The following is a 25256-nucleotide window of genomic DNA, read 5'->3' on the forward strand; positions in this document are numbered from 1 at the left end:
AAGGTGCCTCTAAGGTGAAGTCTGCCCAGATGACCCGGCTGAGGCACTCCAGCCATGCGGAGAACGCACAACCCTGTTTCTCACTCAGCAATCTTTTTCCAATGTTCCCAGACAACTTGTCAGGTATGGTGGTGACAGTACAAGGATTCTGACAGCTTCAAACTGGGAACCTGTCATCAGTGCAAATTTCTCTTTTAACCACCTTTTAACCACACTGAAGCGGGATTGGCACCAAACATTTTCTACAGTATTTTAAAATAACACAGATTACACACATACGTTCTCCAAGGTATAATAAACTAGATCCCTTAATTGGAAAGATGAATCCAAAAGATTCCCATAATGTAAATGCCCACAGTTACTCTAAAGCTACATGGAACCCAGTATAGAGCAGGGCTTGGACTCAGAAGGACCAATCAGGAGCTCAGACCAGCTGACAATATTAGCCCAAGACACTTTATTTCCAAAAATCTCCCTTTTCTCAATTGCCAAATGGAGACACTATTACTACCCCAGGATTGTTTTTGAAGACTGAAGGTAATAAGACTTAGGGGTAATAGGCTGTTTGGAATGAGGGATTAGGCCACCTGAAAAAAACCTGCTAAGATACTTTTATCGAATTTTACCTTTATTTAGATTGCATGTTTATAGAGGATGACTTTGGGATAGAACTAATGGTATTTGAAGCTGGGAGATGGAGGCTAAAGGCCCCAGCCTCCCTTGTTTGCAACTGTTGATACTGAAAGCAGCAAAGCTCAGTGCCATATTGCAGGCTTTTCCTGAAGTTTTGCTGAATCTGAGGCACAAATTCTGAAAATGTTGCCACCAGTACCTCATGTTATTTTGTAATAATGTCTTGAGGTTTGGTTCTGGCCATACCAAATAAGACCCTGATATGCACAATGCCACTGAAATTCACTTCCCACTGCTCTGGCATCCTGGTGTCACGGAAGGAGCCATAATCTAGTCAACTCATGTTCGGAAGAGCTCAGTTCTGGCTCTGACTCTGTTATAACCATTTCTGTGGAGTGGGACAGGCCATTTAACTTCTCGTTGCTTTGATTTCCTCAGTTGTAAAGTGGTCATAACTGCCCTTGCCTTCCTGAACCAGAGTTATTAATCAAGAAGCCTAAGTGAGGTAGACCATGCAGAAGTCCTACAGTTGTCCTTGGTCTTTGTCCAAGGGCAAAAAATCCATTTAGATTCACTCCAAACCACAGTGACCATTAGCTGACCTCAACATACCAGGAAAAAAACAAACAAAAAACTTTTGCTCAATAGAAATTAACTTGTTAGCTCCGGCCTGTATGAAATACATTAAAAATGAAATTCTTACAGCCTGCAAAGTCTTCCAAGGGGGTAGAGTTCCACATTATATCACACACATATGCATTTTTGTTTGCTTTACTGTGACTTGGATTTACTACAGAGACCTCTAATTTCTTAAATGACTTTTCACTTATCTACAGATGGAAGAATAGGACACATAAATGCATCACTCATAATTGAGTGTTTGTAATACCTCTCACATCTTGAATCAAAATAAGAAATAAAATGCTGAAACTACTACAAGTGTCATATATGTTGGTTCTAAGGCATACAAACTTTAGTCTGGGTTTAGAGGGTTGCAATCAAGAATCAGCCTGTGGGCTAGGCGCGGTGGCTAATACCTGCAATCCCAGCACTTTGGGAGGCTGGGGCGGGTGGATCACTTGAGGCCAGGAGTTCAAGACCAGCCTGGCCAACATGGTGAACACCCTTCCCCATTAAAAATCCAAAAAAAATTAGCCAGGCACAATGGTGTGCACCTGTAATCCCAGCTTCTAGGGAGGCTGAGGCAGGAGAACTGCTTAAACCTGGGAGGCGCAGGTTGCAGTGAGCTGAGATCATGCCACTACACCCCAGCCTGGGCAACAGAGCAAGACTCTGTCTCAAACAAACAAACAAACAAACAAAACAAAAAATCAGAAAAAAAAAAAAAAAAGAAAAGGACAAAAAAGAATCGGCCTGTGTGGTTTAATAAGCCTCTGAGTATCATCAAAGACCAAGACTCTTCCAAGGGCAAGCATAATTGACTGGGCAGGGCAGAGCAGCGGACAGGGGCAGTCCTGGTTCTAGAATGCTTCAATTCTGACTCTGCCACTTCCTCCTGGAGCCTCAGTTTTATCATCCTTAATGGCTCACTGAACTTTTGTCCTCTGTAACACAAAAGAAGGAAGACCTCTGAAAAGGTCTAACCCAATCCACATATCTCCACCACCACAATGTTCCCAACTAAAATCCAACCTCAACATAAACTATTCTAATTAACAAAGCCTCTGGTGTCAATTAGAGATAAAGAAAACCCAGTTGCTTAAAGCAGAGCCCCCTGGAGTGAGGGTTTCTCATTAGATGCAAGTTCACCAACCCTACCTCTGCATTCACAACTGGCGCCACCAACTTCCACTAAGACTTGGATGAAAACTAACAGATATACATGTACGTAGCACAGGTACATGCTGAAATATTTTCAAGTAAATTACAGAAAGTATAATATCAGGATATTCACATTAGATACATTTAAATGAGAGAATTTCTGTGAAAATTCCCTGAACATTTAAGGCACTGGATATCCAAACAGAAAGTAATATTGTGAATTGAGGTATGCAGTTGGCCAGTCAAATCAAGAAACAGACTCTTTCCATATTAACCCAGAAGTGCTGAGTCCTTTCATGCCTGGATAACACTGATCACTCAAAATGTTGTGCTTGTCTGTCTGCTCTTGTCTCCCCCGACCTCAAACAGCAGCAAACTCCTAATCTTTTAATGCCGTCTCATTCCTACTCTACTCTTCCTCCCAGTTCTGCCTCTATAATGCCTATTACATTTGTTTAAGATTACTTGCACATTTTGCCTTGTCCCATTTTTTCCTCTTCTCTCCAGACTGAGAGTTCCTTGAGGGCAGGGTCTAATTGATTATTTTGGACCCACAGGCCCTGCACTTTGGAGTCCAGTAAGCACTAAACACATGGTTGATGATAAATGGACAAGTGAGGGGTGTGTGCATGTGTGTGTGTGTGTGTGTGTGTGTGTGTGCGTTTTAAACCTAAATAATAAATTATCACCATGCTATCTAAACTCTGTTGGTACATGAAGTCAAGACCCTGGGAAAAAGGAAATACTCCTCCTTTGTCCTCTATTGATGTAGAATACTAGGAGATGGGAAATCTGGTCTAGAGAATCCCCCCGCCCCACTGCAAAAGCAGCAACAATTACGATTTTCTTAGAAGTCTCATTACTCATACCTTGGAAATGGCTGTCAAAATACTGAACCTTTTCTTCATTTCCCACACAAAGCGCTGTTTTAGCAGCTGTTCTAGTCAGCTATTTCTGGTGTTAAACAATCTTGATTGCCTAAGATAACGAAATCAAATTACAGCCCTCAAAATAACTCTTCTCTGCATCTACCTATTACATTAGTACAGTGGCATCTTATAATGTAAAAGTGCTGTTTTCAAGGAGATTCAGAAAACACTTGGCAAAATTGTTCCATATTTGCTTCCCATTTGGTTGTGGGCACTGGAAGATGTGTGATGCACAGTCACCACTGCACAACTGCAGCCTAGCTGGGAGCTGGTACAGGTGGCAGGTCCACAGTGCTGCAGAGAAACCCCCGTCAGCCCTCTGCAGGCCGGGCTATGTCAGGAGTGTGCTGCCATGCAGAAATGTGCTCATGGAAATGATCGATCCATCTACTGATGATCAGGGCTAAAGTTAAACTGGACAGGATCCTAAAGATCACTTGGCCTCCCCGACTCCATTAGTCCTGACGCTGGTCCAAAATGAAGCAGAGATCCAGGAAATCCATGGCAGAGTGGTCAGGGGAGTGGGCTCAGCTTTGGCTCACATACCAGCCAGTCCCTTAATCTCTCTGTGCCCCTGCTTCCTGATAAAGAAATAATAGTATCTACCCTAGAAAGTGCTTAGTATGCACTAAGCACTATTGTGTAATGAATCATTCAAAACAATAGAAAAGTACAGGAAATTACAAAATACATGTACCACTACTCTGACTTTTTTAACACTTTGCCTTACCTGCTTCCGATCTATTTTTTTTTTTAACAGAAAGAAAAGGTAACAGCCACAGTGAGGTTCCCTTTGCACTCCTTTAATCCCATTTCCCTCTCTCCATTAACCATTCTTAAATTGTTTTGTATTCTTCCTATCCAGGTCCTTATACTTTTACTGAGCCATGTTTTTCATATAAAAAATTTAAAACTGATGAGTATTTTACAAATTTGTCTGCAAGGTACACTGCAGCTTATTTTTTTCAATCAATATGTTTGTAAAATTTATCCAGAATATACTTGTAAATCTGATTCATTCATTTTAAAATATTGTGCAATATTCCACTATATAAGTATATTACAACTTATCTGTTTTCCTAGTAAAGGACATTGGATCTATCCACACTTTTTGCTCTATTATGCAACTGTAATCGTATTCTGTTTGCATAAATCCTTAAGCACCTAAGCACATTTCTTTAGAATGGAATTGTCAGGTCCTAGGGTAAGTTCATTTCTAAACCTTATTAGATATTACAAAATTGCTCTCTAAAGTGCTCAAGAAAGTGTGAGAATACCTGTTTCTCCATAATATCTCCAATACTTAGTATTACCAGGTTTTTTTTTTTATTTTCACCAATCTCTAGAGTGAGAAATGGTACCTGTTTGTTAGTTAAATTTGCATTCCTCTGATTACTAATTAATTTTCTTGTTTATTGGCCATTCCAATTTCCTTTTTTGTGAGTTATTTGCCTTTCCCATTGTGGTGACATTTGCTAAGAGGTCCCATTAGACATTCAGAGTTCACCATCTAGAAGCTTCCATTTATATACATACTGGATTTCCATTCATTTCAGCAAATATTCACTGATCTCCCTAAAGCCAGAGATGCAGTATCCTTGGATTTACTTCTTTATATATCTTCTATACACATGCAAGACTTTTGGCTCAGTACTTCCTCTCCAGTGCATCACTTCCATGCCTGGCTTACTATCTGCGAAGATGGTAGGTTTCTGTAGGCCACCTGCTGCCACCTGTTCTTCTGGCTGCTGCTCCTTAGATGTAAGTGATACATTCTCTAGAAGTCTTAACACTTACATGATACTGGTCAGAAAGTAATTAAATGGAAACATTCAGAAGCAGCTGCTGACATACCTACAAACTCTCTAGCCATACCATAACTTTTACACTTCTTTAATGAGCCTTGTTTGTCTGCTTGTTACTTTTTAAAGCCTCCAAGGCTTTGTACAAGTGTTTCTCATCCTGGCAAACTTCTATTTCCCTCAATATCCAGGTCAAGGTCACCTAATGCATGTGTCCCTGTTTTCTCCGGCACGCTCCCAACCAATGTTCTCAACACTCAAGCCCCCCAAATCTCCTGGCAATTAACTGTTAGCTTTTTTGGGTTCTGCCAACCATCTTGACTTATATTACACTAAGGTAATTACTACATTGTTTCCTACTTCAAAAAAAAAAAGTATGGTTTCCTCCCACCAGACCCTGGGCAATTTAAGGACAAGCACTGCCTTATTTATCTTGGGAGTCTCAAAGCCTACAATAATGTTCAGCACATTATGCTGAATATTTATAATGTGGACCACAAAATTCTCAATTTGATGAACATTGGGAGAAACCAGAATTATTTTAAGAACTAATTCATCTTTGTACCATAGTTTCCAATATTATAAGTTCTAGCAAATCTGCCTTAAATAATTAAAATTGTCTAAGAATCTTAGAAAGGAGACAAAGACTTGAGAAGGCAGCTAAAAATCCCATTTCAAAGACTGTGAGGTAATAATGCAAACCAAACTCATATCTGAAACTGCTTACCTTGGGAAATCAATTTCTCCAATTTCAGAAGTAATTTGTTACTTTTTAATCAGTATTGAAATTTATCTGGAATTAAGTTAGATCAAAAGCAGAAATATTCAGGGAAAAGACAAGTCTCTATTCTCCTACTTTGGCAATTGTCAATAAACAAGAAAATTCACAGATTTAATTAACCAATTGAAACCCTTGTGCCCAACACACAGACTGGTAAATACGGTTTGCACACCATACTGGCCAGGGGACCAAGGGAGGGATTAGGAAAATGGTTCTGTGTGCAGGTGTGAAGAATGCTGAAATGGCCAGGTGAGGGTCAGCTCCATAATTATAAATGCGCCAGAGTTCCTAGAGGCACCATAGCCAATGTGAAGGTACATGTGAGCTAATGTTGGCCAGCCACATTATGTATGAAAGGGGAATACAGGTGGTGGCTGTTCTATGGGTAAGGAGGTGGGGGATGTGGGAGGTTTGTCAGGGAAGGTGGCTGGGACAGGAGATGGGTACAATGTATTGTTCTGTTCCGTGACCTCAAAGAGTATTATATTATTCTCAGGCGCAGGTATTATTGGCAATAGGGGAAAGAGATTAGAAGGGCATGGATAGACATGTAACCAATCCCAATACTTGGATACTACCTTCAGTGTCGAATGGTGGGAGCAATTTTGTTTTCATAAGTATCATACATTCTTCCACTCTCCAGCATCTCTAGATAAAAATGGTTCTCAACAAGCCTACTATGGAATGTTATTGTTTTAAACGGCCATCCACAACTCTTTCCTCTCAATTTCAATAGCTGCTTCTCATAACCCCATTCTAGCTGCCCCTGTATCATGGCTGCCTTCAAGGATGACACCGTTACCTGTGGGGAAGGAACCAGCCTTATCTCTCTCTCTCTCTCTCTCTCTCTCTCTCACACACACACACACACACACACACACACACACACACACACCCCAATTCATCATTGTTCGTCAAAAGATGAATTAAGAAGTCTAAGAAATACACTGTTGACTCAATTAGGAGAGTGCTTCTCAAACATTGTGGCTAAGAATCAGTTTTGCCAACTGGGGGACGGGGCTGAAAAAAATCAGTTTTTCTTTGTTTTTTAGTTTTCAATCTGTTACAGACTGACACTTTTGTAAAAATATGATGCATATGGAATACTAAAAAAAAAAAAGACATAAAAAATACAAGCTTCCAATTTTTTGATTAAATTTAACAGACAATTGTTCTAGGTTCCTAAATGCTTAATCTCAATATCTGTTCTTAGCTGGAGGCAGACTGGTTAACAGTTTAAAATTTGGTACTTTAAGTCAGCAGTCCCCAACCTTTTGGCACCAGGGACTGGTTTCATGGAAGACAATTTTTCCATGGACCAGAGTTGGGGGTGGGGTGGTCTGGGGATGGTTTGAGGATGAAACTGTTCCACCTCAGATCATCAGGCATTAGATTGTCTTAAGGAGCTTGCAACCTAGATCCCTTGCATGTGCAGTTCGCAATAGGGTTCTCGTGCCTGTAAGAACCTAATGCTGCAGTTGATTTGAAACGAGGTGGAGCTCAAATGCTCCCTCACCTGCCACTCACCTCCTGCTGTGCAGCCCAGTTCCTAACAGGCCACGGACTGACAGGTACTTGTCTGCAGCCTGACAGTCAGGAACCCCTGCTTTAAACAGTATTAAATTAGGGGAGGAGAGGCTCTAGGGCAGTCATGTTCTTGGGACTGTGTTTCTTAGAATCATTTATATAGCTTTACAGAGCACACGCAATTCTATAACTCTCATTTGGGAAAAAATGACTGTTTTCACAATGCAAACCAATATAAAACTCAACAAACTAACATAAAACTCAACATATGTGAATGAAGGAGGCATGAGGGTTTTGTTGTATGTTTATCCCGAGGGGCACTGGTTAAAAAGTGCTGGGAATATGAACTAGTGTGTTAGGTGATCCCCGAGAGACCCCTGCCTCATTTCTTACAAAGAGGGGAGTGAGCTAAAGGGAGAAGAATGACAAAGCTAAGAGAGGTGGAGCGCCCACTCTGTAGAATTTTAAGCAGTATTCTGGATCACAGGGTCTTTGATATACATGTTCATATAAGTACTCACAAAGTAAATGCTCAACAAGAGAGAGAGAAGCCGTGACTTTCATATTTTCCACCTCAAAAGATAAAACACAGGCTGGGTTATGACTAAACAAACAGAGCAGAAAACTAAAATCTGAAGAGCATTTTATCTGTATCCAATTAGTATGTGCTGCTCAAATCTCCTAAGCACCCTCAAAAGGCCATGTCTTCCAGGAGCTGTTCCATTTCCCCTGCAAGCCCATCTCTTAAAGTCACAAGCACCTGCTCCTGCATAAAGTGAGAACAGTTGGAATGGATTTTTCCTTCTCCTGGGTGGGGGGGTGGTCTGAGGAAGGAATGATTCAAATACTTTATTACTGCAATACCTTGCTCTACACCCTAATCAGGACCAACTACATAATCTGTGGGGCCCAGTGCAAAAAGAATATTCAGGACCCCTTGTTAAAAAATTCTTCAGAATTTCAAGGCAGCAGCAGTAGAATATTAAGCCAAGCCCAGCGCTTTTCTAAGTGTAGGTTCCTGTGTACAAGCATACCTAGGAAGCTGGCCTTGAAACCCCAGCAGTGTGTTGGCTCATTCTTTCCCCACGAACAAGCTTGCTGCTTTCAGACTTTGTGCAGGACTCAAATCTGCTCTGATACGGACCAGTGAGGACAATGTGATTGAAGTTATTAAAAAATTACGCCAAGCCTTGTGTGATCTAATTCCTCAAAGAAGCCCCTCAAAAGGCGGGGGCTTAATTTAATTTCCCCTCAAGTCCCGTAATAGGAAAGTGGATGCTATTGTCTTAGATTTACAGCTGCTTCTGTGTGCAACAGGAAGTTATATTGATTCTAATCTTGGCTGTAGAGGCGGGTCTGAAAACCTAAAACTCAAAGGTCAAGGTCAGCCAAGGTCAACCTTGAGAGGTAGGAAGGAGGGGCCTTTTTGGTGTGGTAGGAAGAGTTCATCGCTATGAAGCCCACCTCTGTTTCTAAGAGATTAGCTATATCAATCCCCTCCTGGATACCTGGGGGCAATACCCCTCAGATCCCTTCTCTCAGGAAGGCCACATTTGCAGAAGCCACTCACTGTCCTGAGATGTCAACCCTTCTTCTAATTCATGTATCCTCTTACGTAATTCAACTGCCAATAATTGAGAGCATCGATAAGCTGAAGAACAACTTGGCAACGAAATAATATGAAATAGAAATAATTCTGAATTCAAAATTACATTTAGGTAATGACCTACAATGTCTAAATAAATTATAGTACATTGATATAATATGTAGACATTTAAAATCATACCTTCAAGTAATTATTTCATGACATGGTGAAATGCACCTAGCATATGAAAAACAGCACAAAACTAATTACTATTCTGTATGATCCCAATTTGTCTAAAAAAGTATAATATAACCTATATTACAAATTACAATACATGTATTAATTTTAAAGAATACAAAACTAAATATGAATATTAACATTAGTAGGTGAGATGACAATTCTGCTATTTTATGGTCTTCTGTGTTTTCAAAAATATCTCAAATGTACATTCAATACATTTATGATGAGAAAACAAAAAATATATAATTACCTCCAACCTTTTATTTTGGGCTTTTTTTACTCAAAGAGAGCTCATGCCATCAAGCAAACAGACAGTTACCATGGTTATACTAACGCTGCTACTTCACAACAGATAACCACAGGTTAGAAATCTTGTTGCTAGGTTGCAACATGCTAGCTAAGAGTCCATATCTAAATGAGAGGCTCCCTCAAAAACACACTTCCTTGGAGAGGGACCTGGCGTTTACATTTTAGAAATTTTTTTTTGAAGTTCATTTTTTCCCTCTGGTATACGGAGTTCATCAATGCTACAAACTGGTACGTATTCATACACACTGAATCACATTCCTTACTCCAGTTGCAGGCACTTGATGTTTAATAACTAGTTTATCTCAAGTCAGGAAGTTTACAGTGTCAAAATGAATCAAATTGATTTTACCATTTTTATCAAGTATTCTCTGAATATGCTCTTTAAAAAAAAAGAATATATATATATGCCAGGTGCGGTGGCTCAGGCCTGTAATCCCAGCACTTTGGGAGGCCCAGGCGGGCAAATCACGAGGTCAAGAGTTCGAGACCAGCCTAGCCAACATGGTGAAAGCCCATCTCTACTAAAAATACAAAAAATTAGCTAGGCGTAGTGGCGGGCGCCTGTTGTCCCAGCTACTCAGGAGGCTGAGGCAGGAGAATTGCTTGAACCCGGGAGGCGGAGGTTGCAGTGAAGCCGAGATCACGCCATTGTACTCCAGCCCGGGCAAGAGAGTGAGACTCCATCTCAAAAAAATAGATAGATAGATAGATAGATAGATAGATAGATAGATAAATGGGATCCTGCTCTGTTGCCCATGCTGGAATGCAGTGGCATGATTGTTTCCGGAACAAACTGAGGGTCGGGCTGCTATTTCTCATGGCCTAATAACGAGATGCAAATGAACTGGGGAGGAAGAAAGTTTTTATTTCTGCAACCGGTTACAGGGAGAAGGCCTGGAAATTATCACCAGACCAACTCAAAATTACAGTTTTCCAGAGCTTATATACCTTCTAAGCTATATGTCTACATGTAAGTGTGCATTCATCTAAAGACATAGGTGATTAACTTCTTTTAATCTATAACTAAGGTCTGAGTCTTGAGGTTAATTTTTAAATTTTTTTATAGAAATGGGGGTCTCATTACGTTGCCCAGGCTGGTCTACAACTCCTGGGCTCAAGGGATCCTCCCACTTTGGCCTCCCAAAGCACTGGGATTACAGGTGTGAGCCGCCTCATGGGCCTTCCACTGAGTATTCATTAAATCTCTAAGTACCCATGGTGTTGCCTTCAGCTACATATAAGCAAGACAAAGAAAAAAGCCCAGGAGACCAGCCACTCTGTGCTTATATTAACAAAGGAAATGCCAGGAAAGATGCATATTAAACTTAATAATGGTTACCTCTTGGGAATGAGATTGATATGGCAGAAATCAGAAACATTTTTTATTATTTGAAATATATTTTTAGGCCAGGTACAGTGGACTGTAATCCCAGGACTTTGGGAGGCCAAGGTGGGAAGACCACTTGAGCCCAGGAGTCTGAGACAGCCTGGGCAATAATTAAGACTTTGTCTCTACAAAAAAAATATTAAAAATTAAGCAAGGTGTAGTGGTGCATGCCTGTAGTTCCAGCTACTTGGGAGACTGAGGCAGGAGGATCACTTGAGCCCAGGAGGTAGAGGGTGCAGTGAGTTAAGACCACACCCTGCACTTCAGCCTGGGAGACAGAGTGAGACCCTATCTCTGAAAAAGAATTAAAAAAAAAAAACTATATTTTTTAAAGTAATTTCTATACTATTGGAACTATACACTATAAAACATTGTACTTTTATAATTTGTACAATGTACATGTATTATAATCAAATAATGAACCACTAGGTTGGTGCAAAAGTAATTGCAGTTTTTAATACTATAGGATCAATGAAACATTAAAGATCCTACTATAAGAGTTTGTAAATGATGAAGCCACTTAACCAATCAGCTCCTGCTGCTTTCTGTAAAGGTCACTGGCAAAAATCAGAATCGGTAACCCTTGGCATAATATTAGCCTGGGGGGCTGAAGAGGTGAATGCAAGATGATACAGAATAAGGCAACCTTGTGCAGCCTTTCACCAGGGACTTTGATTAGTGCAAACACACAAGGCTAAAACGTGGCCTAGGATGAAAAGATGAGCCACTTCCCTTGTTGGCAAAAAAGAGTCAAGCTCTGTAAAATATTTAAAGAGGTTTATTCTGAGCCAAATATGAGTGTTCAAGGCCTGAGGCAGTCTCAAGAGGTCCTGAGAACATGTACCCATGGTGGCTGGGTTGCAGCTTGGTTTTATATGTTTTACAGGGACATAAGACATCAATCAACACATGTAAGGTGTATATCAACTTGGTCTGGACAGGAGGAACCACTCAAAGTGGGGGCTTCTGGGTCTTTGGTGGATTCAAGGATTTTCTTAATGGCGATTGAAAGTTATGATCTAAAGACTTCTAATCGTTAGAAAGAAGTGGTTGGGTTAAGATAAGGGGTTATGGAGACCAAAATTCTTATTATTTAGATGATGTCTCATAGGTGGCCACTCTGAGAGGCAACAGACAGCAAATGTTTTCTCTTCAGACCTTTACAAGGTGCTAAGCTCTGAGCTAATCTCTTCAGGATCAGAAAAAGACCTGAAAAGGGAAGACTTTCTACAAAATGTACATTTCCTCCATAAGAGATAGCTTTCCAGGACCATTTTAAAACATGCTAAAGAAATACATTTTGGGGTAAAATAATTTTTTCAGAGTCTGCTCTCTGTCATGTGATGCTATACTAGAGTCAGGTTGGAATTAGGCACCTTACTGCTACAAAGAGTCTGTTTTGGAGCAGGCATAGTGGCTCATGCCTGTAATCCCAGAATTTTGGGAGGCTGAAGCAGGAAGATTGTTTGAGCCCAGGAGACCAGCTCGGGCAACACAGTGAGATCCTGTCTCTACAAAAAAATTTAAAAATTAGCCAGGTGTGGCGTTGTGCACCTATAGCCCTAGCTACTCGGGAGGCTAAGGTGGGAGGATTTTTTGAGGCCAGGAGAGATCGAGGCTGCAGTAAGCAGTAGCCCCACCACTGCACTCCAACCTGGGTGACAGAGTGAGACCCTGTCTCAAAACAAACAAACGAACAAACAAACAAAGCAAGTCTGTTTTGTCAGTCTTAAGATCTCTGTTTTAATATTAATACTGGTCAGTTGTGCCTGAATTCCAAAGGAAGGAGAGTATAATGAGGCATGTCTGACCCCCCTTTCTCATCACGGCCTGAACTAGTTTTTCAGGTTTACTTTGGAATCCCCTTGGCTGACAGAAGGGGTCCAATCAATCAGTTGGGGGAGCTTAGAATTTTCAGTTTATACCCTCCAGTTATCTTGCTTCTGGTCTTTCAGACTGGCTGCAGTTTGCATACATCCTGGTAACAAAGCCCAGCAAGTTGAATTCATAGTACCTTGAATGACTCCTGTTCCTTATAACCCAAAGTGACCAACAAAAACCCTAACTAACCCCTTTGGCTCCATCTGGATAGGCTCTTTGAGTAAATGTTCCCTTCCACACTATAGCAAGTTATATAAGAAGGTGCAAAGGCATTAACAGCAATAATGTTTTCCAGTCTTGCATCCAAATATTCTAACACAGATAAAAATAGTGGCTACAGACTGTAATTAAAACAATCATGCTATTTGCAAGGGAGAGATACAGTAGCAGCCTGGCTTGATTCCTGGGAGTTTCGTGGAACCTCATCACTTTGAGGGCAAGCAACTCCACCTGCATTCCATTTCTATCTTAGCCTTTATCCACCTGGATAAGACTGAGGGACCTCACAGACAAATTTCATTTTGTGATGGATAACGTGGGAGCAATCTTCAGCTAAAGTCTAGATAAAGCCTTAAAGAGAAAATTGAGCTCGGAAGACCTGAAAATAAAGAAAACACCCTGGCACCAACAAGGGAGAGAAACAAAACAAAGAAGCTCACCAAAGATGGTTTGACTGTGCAAAACCATGGGTACGGTAACCAGTAACACCCTTATTTTATCAAGATGTCTATTGTAACAGGATGTGTTTTCAATAAATGTAAATGACCTGTAAATGTAGATAAGTCCCTTACAGAATATATTAGGCCCAACTGAAATTTTCTAAGTAGTTTAGTCATGGCCTGAAGATAGCTTGAAACCTGTTTTGAAAAACATTGATAATAGGTTGGACACAGTGGGTCATGCCCATAATCCCAACATTTTGGGAAGCTAAGGAAGGAGGATTGCTTGAGCCCAGGAGTTGGAGACCAGCAAGGGCAACACAGTGAGACTCCTATGTCTACAAAAAGTTTTTTAAAAATCAGCTGGGTGTAGTGGAGCTTGCCTAGAGTCCCAGCTACTTGGGAGGCTGAGGTGAGAGAATCCCTCGAACCTGGAGATGGAAGTTGCAGAGAGCCATGATCGTGCCCCTGTACTCCAGCCTGGGTGACAAAGCAAGACCCTGTCTCAAAAAAGAAAAAAAAATATCAATAATGGATGAGAAGAAATCATCATTGGCAATAACAAAAGTAGTGTACTAGAGTTGGGGGCCCTTCTTTGCAAAGTAATTACAAAGTCATTTCCAGGAAACCATTCTCTTTTCATGCTATAAACTTGTCACAACAGAGGGGTAGGATACCAACAGTATCACTGACTCCTTACATCCTCAGTTAGAAACTGATGAGCAAAAACACAAGGTGGGAGAAATTATTTTTATATTATTGATTAGTGAATGGGGAAATTTAAAGTAATGAAGAACTTACGTTTTTTTCACCCTTAATTATATTGTCTACACCTAGTTCCTTAAAGCAAAAATCACACACACACCCACACCCTCTACAACCCACTATGCTGATTTAAAACATGCTCATTTAAACTGAGTTTAGAGTAATGGGGGCTGTAAAAAAAAAAAAAACACAAACAACAACAACAACAAAAAAAGCAACTCCAGGTTTGGTCTCAACCTATCTCTGCATTTAATAAAACAATAATACAATGAAAGACTTGGGTTATATCAAAATAAATATTTTGAAACTTTTTAAAAGACAGTCACCTGCAAGAATTTATTTTATGCCAGTGTTTCTCAAAGAATATCCTCTTTGAATAAACAAAGGTTTCACTTTCTTCCTCACGTTCTGTTACATCACCCTAAATAAAAGTCATAATCCTTTAGAGAATCAACATATGTTACCTGAACCAGGAGATGCAGACAGGAGCTTTTGCCCAACTTTCCTGTCTTGTTTTGGAGCCGGAGTTGGGAGAGGGGTCAGGAAAGAGAGAGGGAGAGGGGAAAAGCCCAAGTTGTTGTTTTTAAAATTTTCCAGTTATAAAAACAACAACATTTAAGCTGCTTCTTCTAACCGTAGAGGCCTTCCTGTTCAATAACTATGACATAAATGATTCAATAATGGCAATGATTCTTTGTTAATGGCTAATTCACCATGCATAATCCTTTTAGACATGACTCAGCTTTCCTGTTGGGACAATATTTCATTTATGACTATCAAATTAATTTATCTGAAGCATATACTGGGTACAATAAACCTTCACTTTCAGCTGAAAATGGGCAAGGGCAGCACTAGGCATCTCATCTCAGAACTTGCTGGCTTCAAAACTTTTCCTTTGCTGGTGGAAGGCCGGGGCCTCTATGAAATCTAGAACACAGATCAGGGAAACAGATTCTTTCTACAGCTCAGGTGCAGCGTGAAGATTATGTGATTGGGACAAGTATGTGTTTCATGTTCTCAGGGTTCCCACTGGGTAGAACACAGTGCAGTCATGAAAGACAGACTGGAAAGCCATGGTATCCCCAGGAGCCCCCCAACTTATTTCTTTAAGTCTACAGGTCACAACTTCCCAGTGGTACCCCAGGAAATGATGACAAGCTAGCAATATACTTGTTCTCTTGGCTCTTAGGATACCTTTTGTGCCCTGCAAACACTATCATTTTCTAAGTATGCTATGATATGAAAATAGGTAGAAAGCTCTGTATTAGAACAAATAAAGCATAAAAGCATTTTAGATAATAGTGCTTTACTCTACAATATTTCTATACATTTAATTTCAATGCATACTGATGGGATTCAATTGAGTAATTAGTATATACTAATTCAATTGAGTAAATAGTATATAGTTTCCCCATAGTTTGCTTTTAAAAAGTTAAATGAAATATGCTTTATTTTATTTAAATGTGATATACCTAGTTTTTTTTCTGTTCCTTTTTTCAGAAAAAAAAAAAAAAAAAGTACATTCAGCTATGCACATTGGGAGGTGACTCACAGGACATTTGCCTGATCTTTATGCTAGTTCTTTGAACATTTTTATTAAGACAGAACAATCCCCTCTTTGCAAAAGTGTGAGGATCTCTGGTCTTCATTACTCTCTCCTCTGAATGAACCCTGAGGAAAACAGAGTCAGAGCTACCCTATATAATCCTCCATGTAATAATTACCCCACATAAACCCAGGGCCTCATACCTCCTTAGCTCTTCCCAGACAGTCCAATGAATAAGCAACAACAATGACTGAACATTTTCACAACGAACAAGCCACATGATTAGGAAATTACCAACATGGCTATTTTCAAATAATTTCCAGAAGATCACCAGGGAAACCCCTAGAAAAACTAAGCTCATTTAACTTAAATCCGAAAGAGCACCCAGCAGTCTAAGGAAAAACATTTAGATGTTTGTTCTGGCCTATTTCTATGACAGCAATAAGAATGTCCCTAATATTCCTACCTAGTGTTGTGTAAAGTAATCAGAGAAAGTGGATTCAGTCTTGGCCTGGTGGCTCACACCCGTAATCCCAGCACTTTGGGAGGCCAAGGTGGATGGATCACTTAAGGTCAAGAGTTCAAGACCAGCCTGGCCAACATGGCAAGGCTGTTTTTATTTTTGTAAAAACACAAAAAAAATTTGTATTTTTAGTCTCTACTAAAAATACAAACATTAGCTGGCTGTGGTGGGTGCCTGTAATTCCAGCTGCTCGGAGGCTGAGGCAGGAGAATCACTTGAACCCAGGAGACAGAGGTGACAGTGAGCTGAGATCATGCCACAGCACTCCAGCCTGGGCGACAGAGCAGGACTCCATCTCAAAATAAATAAATAAATAAATAAATAAATAAATAAATAAATAAATAAAAGAAAGTGGATTCAAGTCTTCATTTCCCCACTCACAAGCTGTGTGGCTTCAGACAAGTCACTTAGCTTCTCTGAGTCATAGTTTCCTGCCACTACATCAGGGATATTTCATCTTCCCTGCTAGTCTCCCAGGGCTGCTGAGAAACAGATGACATACTGTGTATGGGAGTGCTTCAAAAACTGTAGAGTCTCTCACTCATGTAATCTAACTAGGATTTTTCTTTAAATAATGCTTAATTTTGGAGCAGGGAAGGAGCGTCAAGACATAAACTTGCATCTTCTTTTTCTACAGAGAAGGAAGCTGGGCACTGGAAGGAAGTGCTTGCTAAAGTTATGTTCTGAATCCCAGGAAGTAGTCACCATGATTATTAGTGTCTAGAAGAGGTAAAGGAAAAATATGGCCTTAGTCCTGGAGGCATGATGTGATTTCATCCTTAGCATCATGAAATAGACACTGAGCACCTGTGGAGAGGAAGCTTTGCTGGGCACTAGAAATATAATCTATCACTGATGTCTTTGAGAATAGGATCTGGCTGCGAAGAAAGAAGCAGCACATACAAATAGCAATCATTAGAATGGTCATTTGCTCAGTCAGTTCAAGGGTACATAGCTCAAGGGTAATACAGAAGATGTTACACGGTACTTACCCAAGGCTGGCATACTCATGCAGGAGACTGTTTTGAACTGCCTCCTGGAGTTGGGTTTGGTGGAAGGTAGCTTTTCAAAACCACAGGCTTTGCATTAAGAACCTGGGTGGAATCCCTGTTCCACTGCTTCCTAGGGTCATGACCTTGGGGCAAGCTATATAACTGATAAAAACCACAATTTCTTCACCCACTTAATGAAGATAATAGTATCTTCCTGAGAGGTTGTAATGAGGATTAAAGGAAATATTGCACATGAACCAATTTTGCACAGCACCTGGCACTTGGTAGGTGTTCAATAAATAGTACCGATTGCGGTGGCTGAAGGCAGCCCCCAAGGTGGGAAGGCACATGGGATGTGTGGGGAGCAGTAAGTCCATCAGCTCAATAGCAAGGGAGTGCTTGAAAGGTTTGGGATAGACATCAGATTGTGGTGGGCAGCCTCAAGATAAACTGCTTAAACTTTATCAATAAAACAAAAAGTTTCTGGGCTCAGGAGTCACATGTGTTGTTGTATAAAAACCACTCTAACAACAGTGTGTGGTAGTTAGGAAAGAGACAACAGGAGCAGAAGACCAGTTAGGAAACTTCTTATGAGGAAGAGGAGATTTATTAAGCCCCTTCTTTTAGGCTAGGAGGTTTCCTAATACAGAATTATCTCTTTAATCTGCACAAAACCCCAGCTAATTATTATCTCCATTTCACAGATGAGGAAATGGAGGCTGAGACATTAAGTGAGCAAAGCTGGGATTTGCTCAACTGTCCAAGCCAGTCTATTCTGCTGCTTCCCACACACAGGAAATGCAGGCTGTGGCCCGTCAGGGCCAGTGAGGATACCAGCATATTACCTGGGTGGTAATATTGGCCATCCCAGAGAAGAGGGCAAGTTCTCTGCTGTTGCTATTTCTGTTAGGGGAAAGGCTCCTTAATGCACCCTCTTCCTGGAGGAGTAACCTTTGAAGAGCTGGTTTCTAAGGTGACCCGTAAGCTTCTAACCTCAGTGACAAGTTCCAGCCTCAGCAGGTTTAATATTTTCTGTTTGTTCTCTGGAAGGGAACAACATGACCCTTGTAGGTGAGACCACAGACCAGCTCTTTGTGTGTGCGCCCAGACAGGAGCCACAGTGGCCCAACAGGCAAGTGCAGCTCCTTTCTCTCTTTGCTCCTGGAAAGTGCTCTTTCACCGAGGTCAGAGCCCTCACTCAGCTCAGCCAGTCTTTGAAGAAGGTTCCCGGACTTGCACCGCACCTAACTGGCCGCAGATAAGTGGACCTAGAAGGGTGGGGAAGACTGGAGATCCTGGGGGCCCCTCTCTGAGGGTGCAGCGGGGTCTGGGGAACATGGTCTCCATTTGCACTATAAATCTTGTTTATATTCTGGTTGGCTTTGTTACAAAAAGGCAGAAGTGAAACTAAAATGTACTAGATACGCCACACATACACTATTTCAATTAACCCTTGAAACAACAATCAAATATCATCAGTAATAGCTAACAGTGGTGACCTTACGCCAGGTAGGCTCCTAATCACTTTATGTGCATTTTCTAATTTAATCCTCACAATATCCTAAGACATACATGCAATTATTATCCCTATTTGATGAATGAGGACACTGGGGCATGCAGCTACCAGGTGGCAGCTACTAAGTGGCAGCTCCAGTCATTGGGCCAGGGCGGCTGGACTCCAGAGCCTGTGGAGTGTCGATGCATCAGCTTCTAGGATAAGTTCAAGGGAGTTGAGGATGCTAAGAGGGAAGTCACACAAATACAAAGAGGAATAATTGGACTTTCTCTAGCTTCCAGAAAATTCAACCTTATTTCAATCCCTACCTACTTCAGATTCCACAGCATCCTTCCCATTTTCATTATTTTTAGCTGATAATCTATAACAATTTCAGTATTCTCCGTAATCCCCATTTGTGTAACTTCTGGAATGTTGATAGATTCCAAACCCCCATCTTCCTGCTGGTTTTATTAATAACAGGATCATTTTGACCCAGTGTCTAGAATTGTTCTCCTGTGACTGAATGCCCGTCTTGATAACTTGCCCAACACCTCATATCTCCTGAGCATGTAGTCCTTCTACCTGCTCACATCTGCTCATCTCGGCCTAGACCTTAACCAACTGCCTTCTGCTGAGCCCTTACCAGACTCCATGCCTAGCCTCAGTGGATCTACATACCTAGCCCATTCTCCCAGGTCTGGCCTGTCCCATCACCAGGCCAGGATTTATTCCTCCCCTGTCCTGGGACTCCTATAGGAGTCTGTTTTTTAATCAATGGAAGTAGTTAACTGAAGTTCAATTCATAGTAGCAGGGGAGCCTATGGGGGGTGAGAAAATGTTTACTCAGACCAAGCTTCAACCATAATAGCTTCAAATGGCATGGAAACAAGGAAAGGAACATGCCTGAGAAATTCCACTAATCACTTTTAAATTTCACTCATTCATTTTCCATTAATGAAAGAGGGGGAAAAAAGCTCAGAAATAAAGAGAAGCAGCAATGTAAACTGCAACCAAGTGTGGTTGTTGAAATCCTTCCCCTTAACCTTTCCATCTGGTACTGCAGATAGGCAGGTAACTCAATGTCTTAAAGCCAGCACCATAAATATTTTTATTAAACTTGGGGCAGAGGTCTAAATATACTCCAAACAGCAAATTCATTTATCATTCAATCATTTGTTCATCTGGGAAACATTTGCTAAGTGACTTACCATGTGTCTGGCACTGGGCTGGGTCCTGGTAATGCCATGTTGATCTTAAGGAACCTTGGGATGAGTGGGGAGAAGCTAGGCTGGCAAATCACATAATGATAGAGAACACTAAAATTCTGACCTAATGATAATTCTTAAAAATGATACCCTTGTAAACTATCTTTTTACTCTTCAATTATTATTAAAACAAATAAAACATTATTTTCTGCTCCAGGCTGGTGTTATTTCTTTTTTAAATTTTACTAGGAAAAGACTCTCATCACTACTTTGTCTGAAATGTCACTCTCACCCCCTCCTGGACATGCCTCTGATTCTCCCCTGTCCTTTCCTTCTCAGAACATGGATTTCACCGGGAGTTCTCCTCCCCATTGAGTTATAGCTTATTACTCTTCGGGGTTCTCTCTCACCTCTCAATCCCCCTTTTTCTTTTCTGTCCCTTCCCCACTCTTTACTTGATTCAACCTCTTTGTGAGGGGGTAAATGTTTAACCTTTTCTTAGGCTATCAAATGACATTGTATAATGGAAATCACAGGACCCACTCATTAGAGTTCTTCCAAACAAGAAAGGCCTTACTGTGTCTGAGTGATTATGGCATCTTGAATTACAAACTCTAATAATGCTTAGTAATTACTGTTACATGCTATGTACTCTCAGCTTCTCTTCTCAGGACCCTGGGTAACCTGCATGAATACAAAGGATGTCCATGTTCCACAACTTAGATCATTATGGCTTCAACCTGCGTTACCAAACTGCCAGTGTCCTTGAAGGGTTTAGTAAGAGAAGGTGTCAGCCACAGACCTGGCTTCAGGTCTTTACTTCCCAGATTTTTTTTGTTCTTGAGACATGGTCTCACTCTGTCGCCCAGGCCAGTACAATGGCGTCATCTGGGCTCACTGAAACCTCCGCCTCCTGGGTTCAAGTGATTCTCCTGTCTCAGCCTCCCAAGTAGCTGTGACTACAGGTGTGCACCACCATGCATGGCTAATTTTTGTATTTTTAGTAGAGACAGGGTTTCGCCATAGTGGCCAGGCTGGTCTCAAACTCCTGACCTCAAGTGATCCGCCTGCCTCAGCCTCCCAAAGTGCTGGAATCACAGGCGTGAGCCACCATGCCCGGCCTACTTCCCAGTCTTTAACATAGATTCCTTCAAATTGGGACAGGCTCTTAGAATTACTGAAATGAGAAAAATTTTAACATATAAGCCCCACAAACTGTCGTATATTTATTTTTAATTCATATTTATTTATCTATGTTATTTTTAGAAACAAGGTCTTGCTCTGTTGCCCAGACTGGAGTGTGTGGTGTGATCATAGCTCAGACTCCTGGGTTCAAATGTTCCACCTCAGCCTCCTGAGTAGCTTGGACTACAGGCGTGAACCACCATGCCTAGCTAATTTATTTTTATTTTATAGAGACAAAGTCTGACTATTTTGCCTAGGCTGGTCTCAAGCTGCTTGCTTCAAGCGATCCTCCCACCTCAGACTCCCAAAGCGCTGGGATTACAGGTGTGAGCCAGCCAAAAATGTCAAGTTAAAAGATCAAAGCCACTTCTCAACTATTGAGGTGGCATTGCTTTCTGAACGCATTTGAGATACTAAATGTCATAAAAATAACAAATGATGGCATATTTGTGAATGGGACCAAACAGGCCTGATTAATGCAAGGCCATGGCACAGTGTCCCGGACCAGCTGGTCATTTCTACTCTACCTCTTCTTTCTCACCATCCACTCAAAAGTACCAAGAAAAAGAAATGGGATACAAGCTAAGGACGGAGCTGGTCTGTTAATAGTTCAATAGGCAACTGGATATAGCTTTGTCCAGCACCAGCTCCCTGAAGCTATGCTACAGACAAGAATGATGTAGAATGAGCCATAAATTTCCAGCCTCACATAACTATGATCTGGCCCAGGTACACAGCGGCCATTTTCTCAATGGCAACCTAACCAGCACTGATGCATACAAAATTTTGAAAGTTTTCTTCAAGATTCTCTTTGAATTTTAGAGTGGTGAAGGCTTTCTAACTGTGACTCACAATCCCAAAGCCATGAAAAACCTGATATATTCTTCTACATAAAAATTCAAACTTCTACATGTCAAAAACACCATTAAATTAAGAGAAATTGGAAAAAAAAAAAAAACTTGCAACTCAGATCACACACAAAAGGCTCATGTACCTAATATACAAAGTTCCTAAATTGGTCAATAAGAAAAGGAGCAACCACCAAAAACAAAGTGGGCAAAGAGCAAGTACAATTTATAGGAAAAAAATCTATAAATGGCTTGTAAACATGAAAAAATGTTCAACAACACTTAAAAGAAAATGCAAATTAGAAGTACACTGAAATATCATTTTCACTTGTCAGAATGGCAAAAATCCATAATATGATAACACATTCTGTTTTGCAAGACTGGGAAAACAGACATTCCTCACACATGGTTTGTGAGCGTGCAACTTGGTAAAACCCCTAGGAAGGGGAATTTGGCAATACCTATCAAAATTGCAAATGCATATACCAATGGCCCTACGATTTCACTTGTTGAAATTTTTTCCACAAATATATTTCACAATTAGCCAAATAACATATGTACACGGCTATTTATTGCAACAGTTTTATAGTATATGCCGAAAAATAGAATAAACGTCCATTAACAGAGGAGTAAATAAAATGATGGCATTGCCATATAATGGAATGTGCAATCATAAAAAATAAAAAGCAAAAGAAAGATGACATGCTATGTTTTGATACAGAAAGATATACCATTGTACGGTAGATGAACCTGACAGCAATAACTTAAGCATACCCTGAGAACGACCCTGTATGGTCTATGCACCTGATTGTGTGTTCAGAGTTCCAAGTTAAGGAATTCAAGAGGAGCCAACCTGGAGATTCATTCCTCATCTATGAGGAACATCTGAACCCCTGTCAGGTCCAGCGGAACAAGAGCTGTACAGGGGATGGGGGCCCTTTGTTTTAGTTTAAATGAAGGTTGCTGGGTGGAGGTTGTTACGGGGAGAGTGCTAAGTTAAAATGTGATATAAAGTGCATGCTTTTTACAACTGGTGGCAGTTCTCCTGTCCAGCTCACTGACACTGGACCACTCTGGAAATAAGTTCCCTCTAGTAAAACCCCATATCTCGTTTGCTGGATGCGGATCTCATCTTTGGCCTCTTGAGCCTGGTGCCTTCCCTCCTGGAGTTAATAGGGGTTGGGCACGGCAATTGTTCACTGAAAAAAGCACGGTATGGAAAAACCTTTTTGTACAAAGGATTCAGGGAAGTGTGGGATAAAATTACATATTGTAATTTGCTTGTACATGCAAAAAGAATCTGGAGAACATGAAAAAATAAATACAATGGTGACCTAGAGTCGGTGATAATAGGGCTGAGAAATTTTCCACTGTATGCTGTTTAATATCTTTGGATCTTTGAACCATATAAATATATTGTTACTCAAAACTTTAAAAAATTGGCCAGGCACAGTGGCTCATGCCTATAATCCCAGCACTTTGGGAAACCAAGGCAGGTCTCCTGATCACCTCAAACTCCTGATCACTTCAGGTCAGGATTTCAAGACCAGCCTGGCCAATATGGCAAAACCCCGTCTCTACTAAAAATACAAAAATTACCTGGGCGTGGTGGTGCATGCCTGTAATCCCAGCTACTTGGGAAGCTGAGGCAGGAGAATCAATCAAACCTTGGAGGTGGAGGCTGCAGTGAGCCAAGACTGCACCACTGAACTCCACCCTGGGCGACGGAATGAGACTCCGCCTCAGAAAAAAAAAAATTTTAAAAATTTTAAAAAGTATATTTGTGCCTGTGTCAAATACATTCTTTGTTGAGAACACTAATAAATTATTAACCTCAAGAATTAGGGGATGCTTGAGGGACAGCTGCTCAGGGTCAACATGCGCAAACTTTTCTCCTCTTACATCTTTTCCTAAATGTGAATTATGGGGCTTGAAAGTAGAGACATTCTCACAACACCCCTACCCCCAATACTACCTTGTCTTGAAATGGTGTTACTTAAATACACACAAACATAAAACCAAGTATAAACTTCTTATGTTCAAAGCTCATTTATAATATAATTATAAAACCAAGCTATATTTAAAAATAAATATGGTAAAATTATAAAACCAATGAAAGTCTGAAATAACCACATTTACTTATTGTGCAAGATGAGATTGTTTTGTTAAAACTAAATCACGACTTGATCAGAAATGCTGTACAGAGTAACATGGCCCAAGTTCTCCTGAATTCAGCATACCACATTATCTTTGTTACACAAAGCAGTTACTCTACCACAACTTTTCTCTATTCTTTGCTTAGTGTGCTGCAAAATCATTTGCCCTTCTTTTGCCCAAATGCATCTGTTACATAGTCAAGCTGCCTCTGTCATTTACTCAATATCTCATAACAACTGATATGCGGTCAACCCAGTCATAAATCCAAGTGCCAACTCAAACACTAAAGTTGGGTGTCAGTGGTGAGTCATAAGGTGGTCATTCTGATAACCCCAAATAAACTTGTATCAAGGTTATCTTGTTAGCATTCTTAACATCATAACAAAAATGAAAATATCAAATTTAAAAATTATAGAGAGAACTTAGACTCTGAGAGGTATACAGATCCCCAGCAGTTCACAGAGCCTAGTGTGCAAAACACAGCCATAATGAGTTACCATCTAATTATCTGTAATTTGTTTGAAATGCAGTGATTGCCCCTATTCACTGCCCCAGTGGAAGACTCTACTGTGGATCTGATTCTCAAGCCCCTGAGGGGTCAGACTCCTGACTACCTGGCTCTCTCCTGGCTCCTGCATCTACTTTCACCTTTGATTCTCTCTTTGCATCACTGCCCACAGCAGTGGGGCAGGCCAGGCCCCATTCTGGTGGCCACGTTCAGGCTCTCAAAGCCCAGCCTGGGGCAGAGTCCCAAACCACCTATGGCCTAGGATGGAAGCGTGGACATTTTGTGATGCTATAATCCCCATTCAGCACAAATAACTATTTTCCATAAAGGGCACATATATTACAGTGTGCATTTGAAAGCCTCTCATTAAGTCTTATCAAAAACCAAGAAACTAATTTCCATATTAAAAATCTATTGTTCTGACTCAGAATGTGCTATTCAGCAGATTCTTGCTGAATACAGTCTCTTAAGCAAAGAAATTTGTCATGTATTTCTGCATCCTTGGTGCCTACAT

At 40.7% G+C, this 25256-nt stretch overlaps 1 protein-coding gene and 1 long non-coding RNA gene across 2 annotated transcripts in view, besides 1 other annotated feature; one reads left to right on the forward strand and one right to left on the reverse strand.

Moving 5' to 3' along the window:
• Positions 1-25256, reverse strand: part of TBC1D9 (TBC1 domain family member 9) — a 135604-nt gene that overhangs the window by 81686 nt on the left and 28662 nt on the right. The gene's annotated exons all lie outside the window — the stretch shown is intronic.
• Positions 9701-13629, forward strand: TBC1D9-AS1 (TBC1D9 antisense RNA 1). The gene is made up of 2 exons (XR_007058283.1): positions 9701-9816; positions 13329-13629. It is a non-coding gene; the product is annotated as a TBC1D9 antisense RNA 1 (long non-coding RNA).
• Positions 18482-18541: an enhancer, noted in NCBI's record as "active region_21936". NCBI's record gives its function as "activates an Ori minimal core promoter by ATAC-STARR-seq in GM12878 lymphoblastoid cells {active_cell/tissue: GM12878}" and the evidence as "EXISTENCE:reporter gene assay evidence [ECO:0000049][PMID:35858748]".

The sequence above is a fragment of the Homo sapiens genome, chromosome 4 (genome assembly GCF_000001405.40).
Source record: "Homo sapiens chromosome 4, GRCh38.p14 Primary Assembly".
Lineage (NCBI taxonomy): Eukaryota > Metazoa > Chordata > Mammalia > Primates > Hominidae > Homo > Homo sapiens.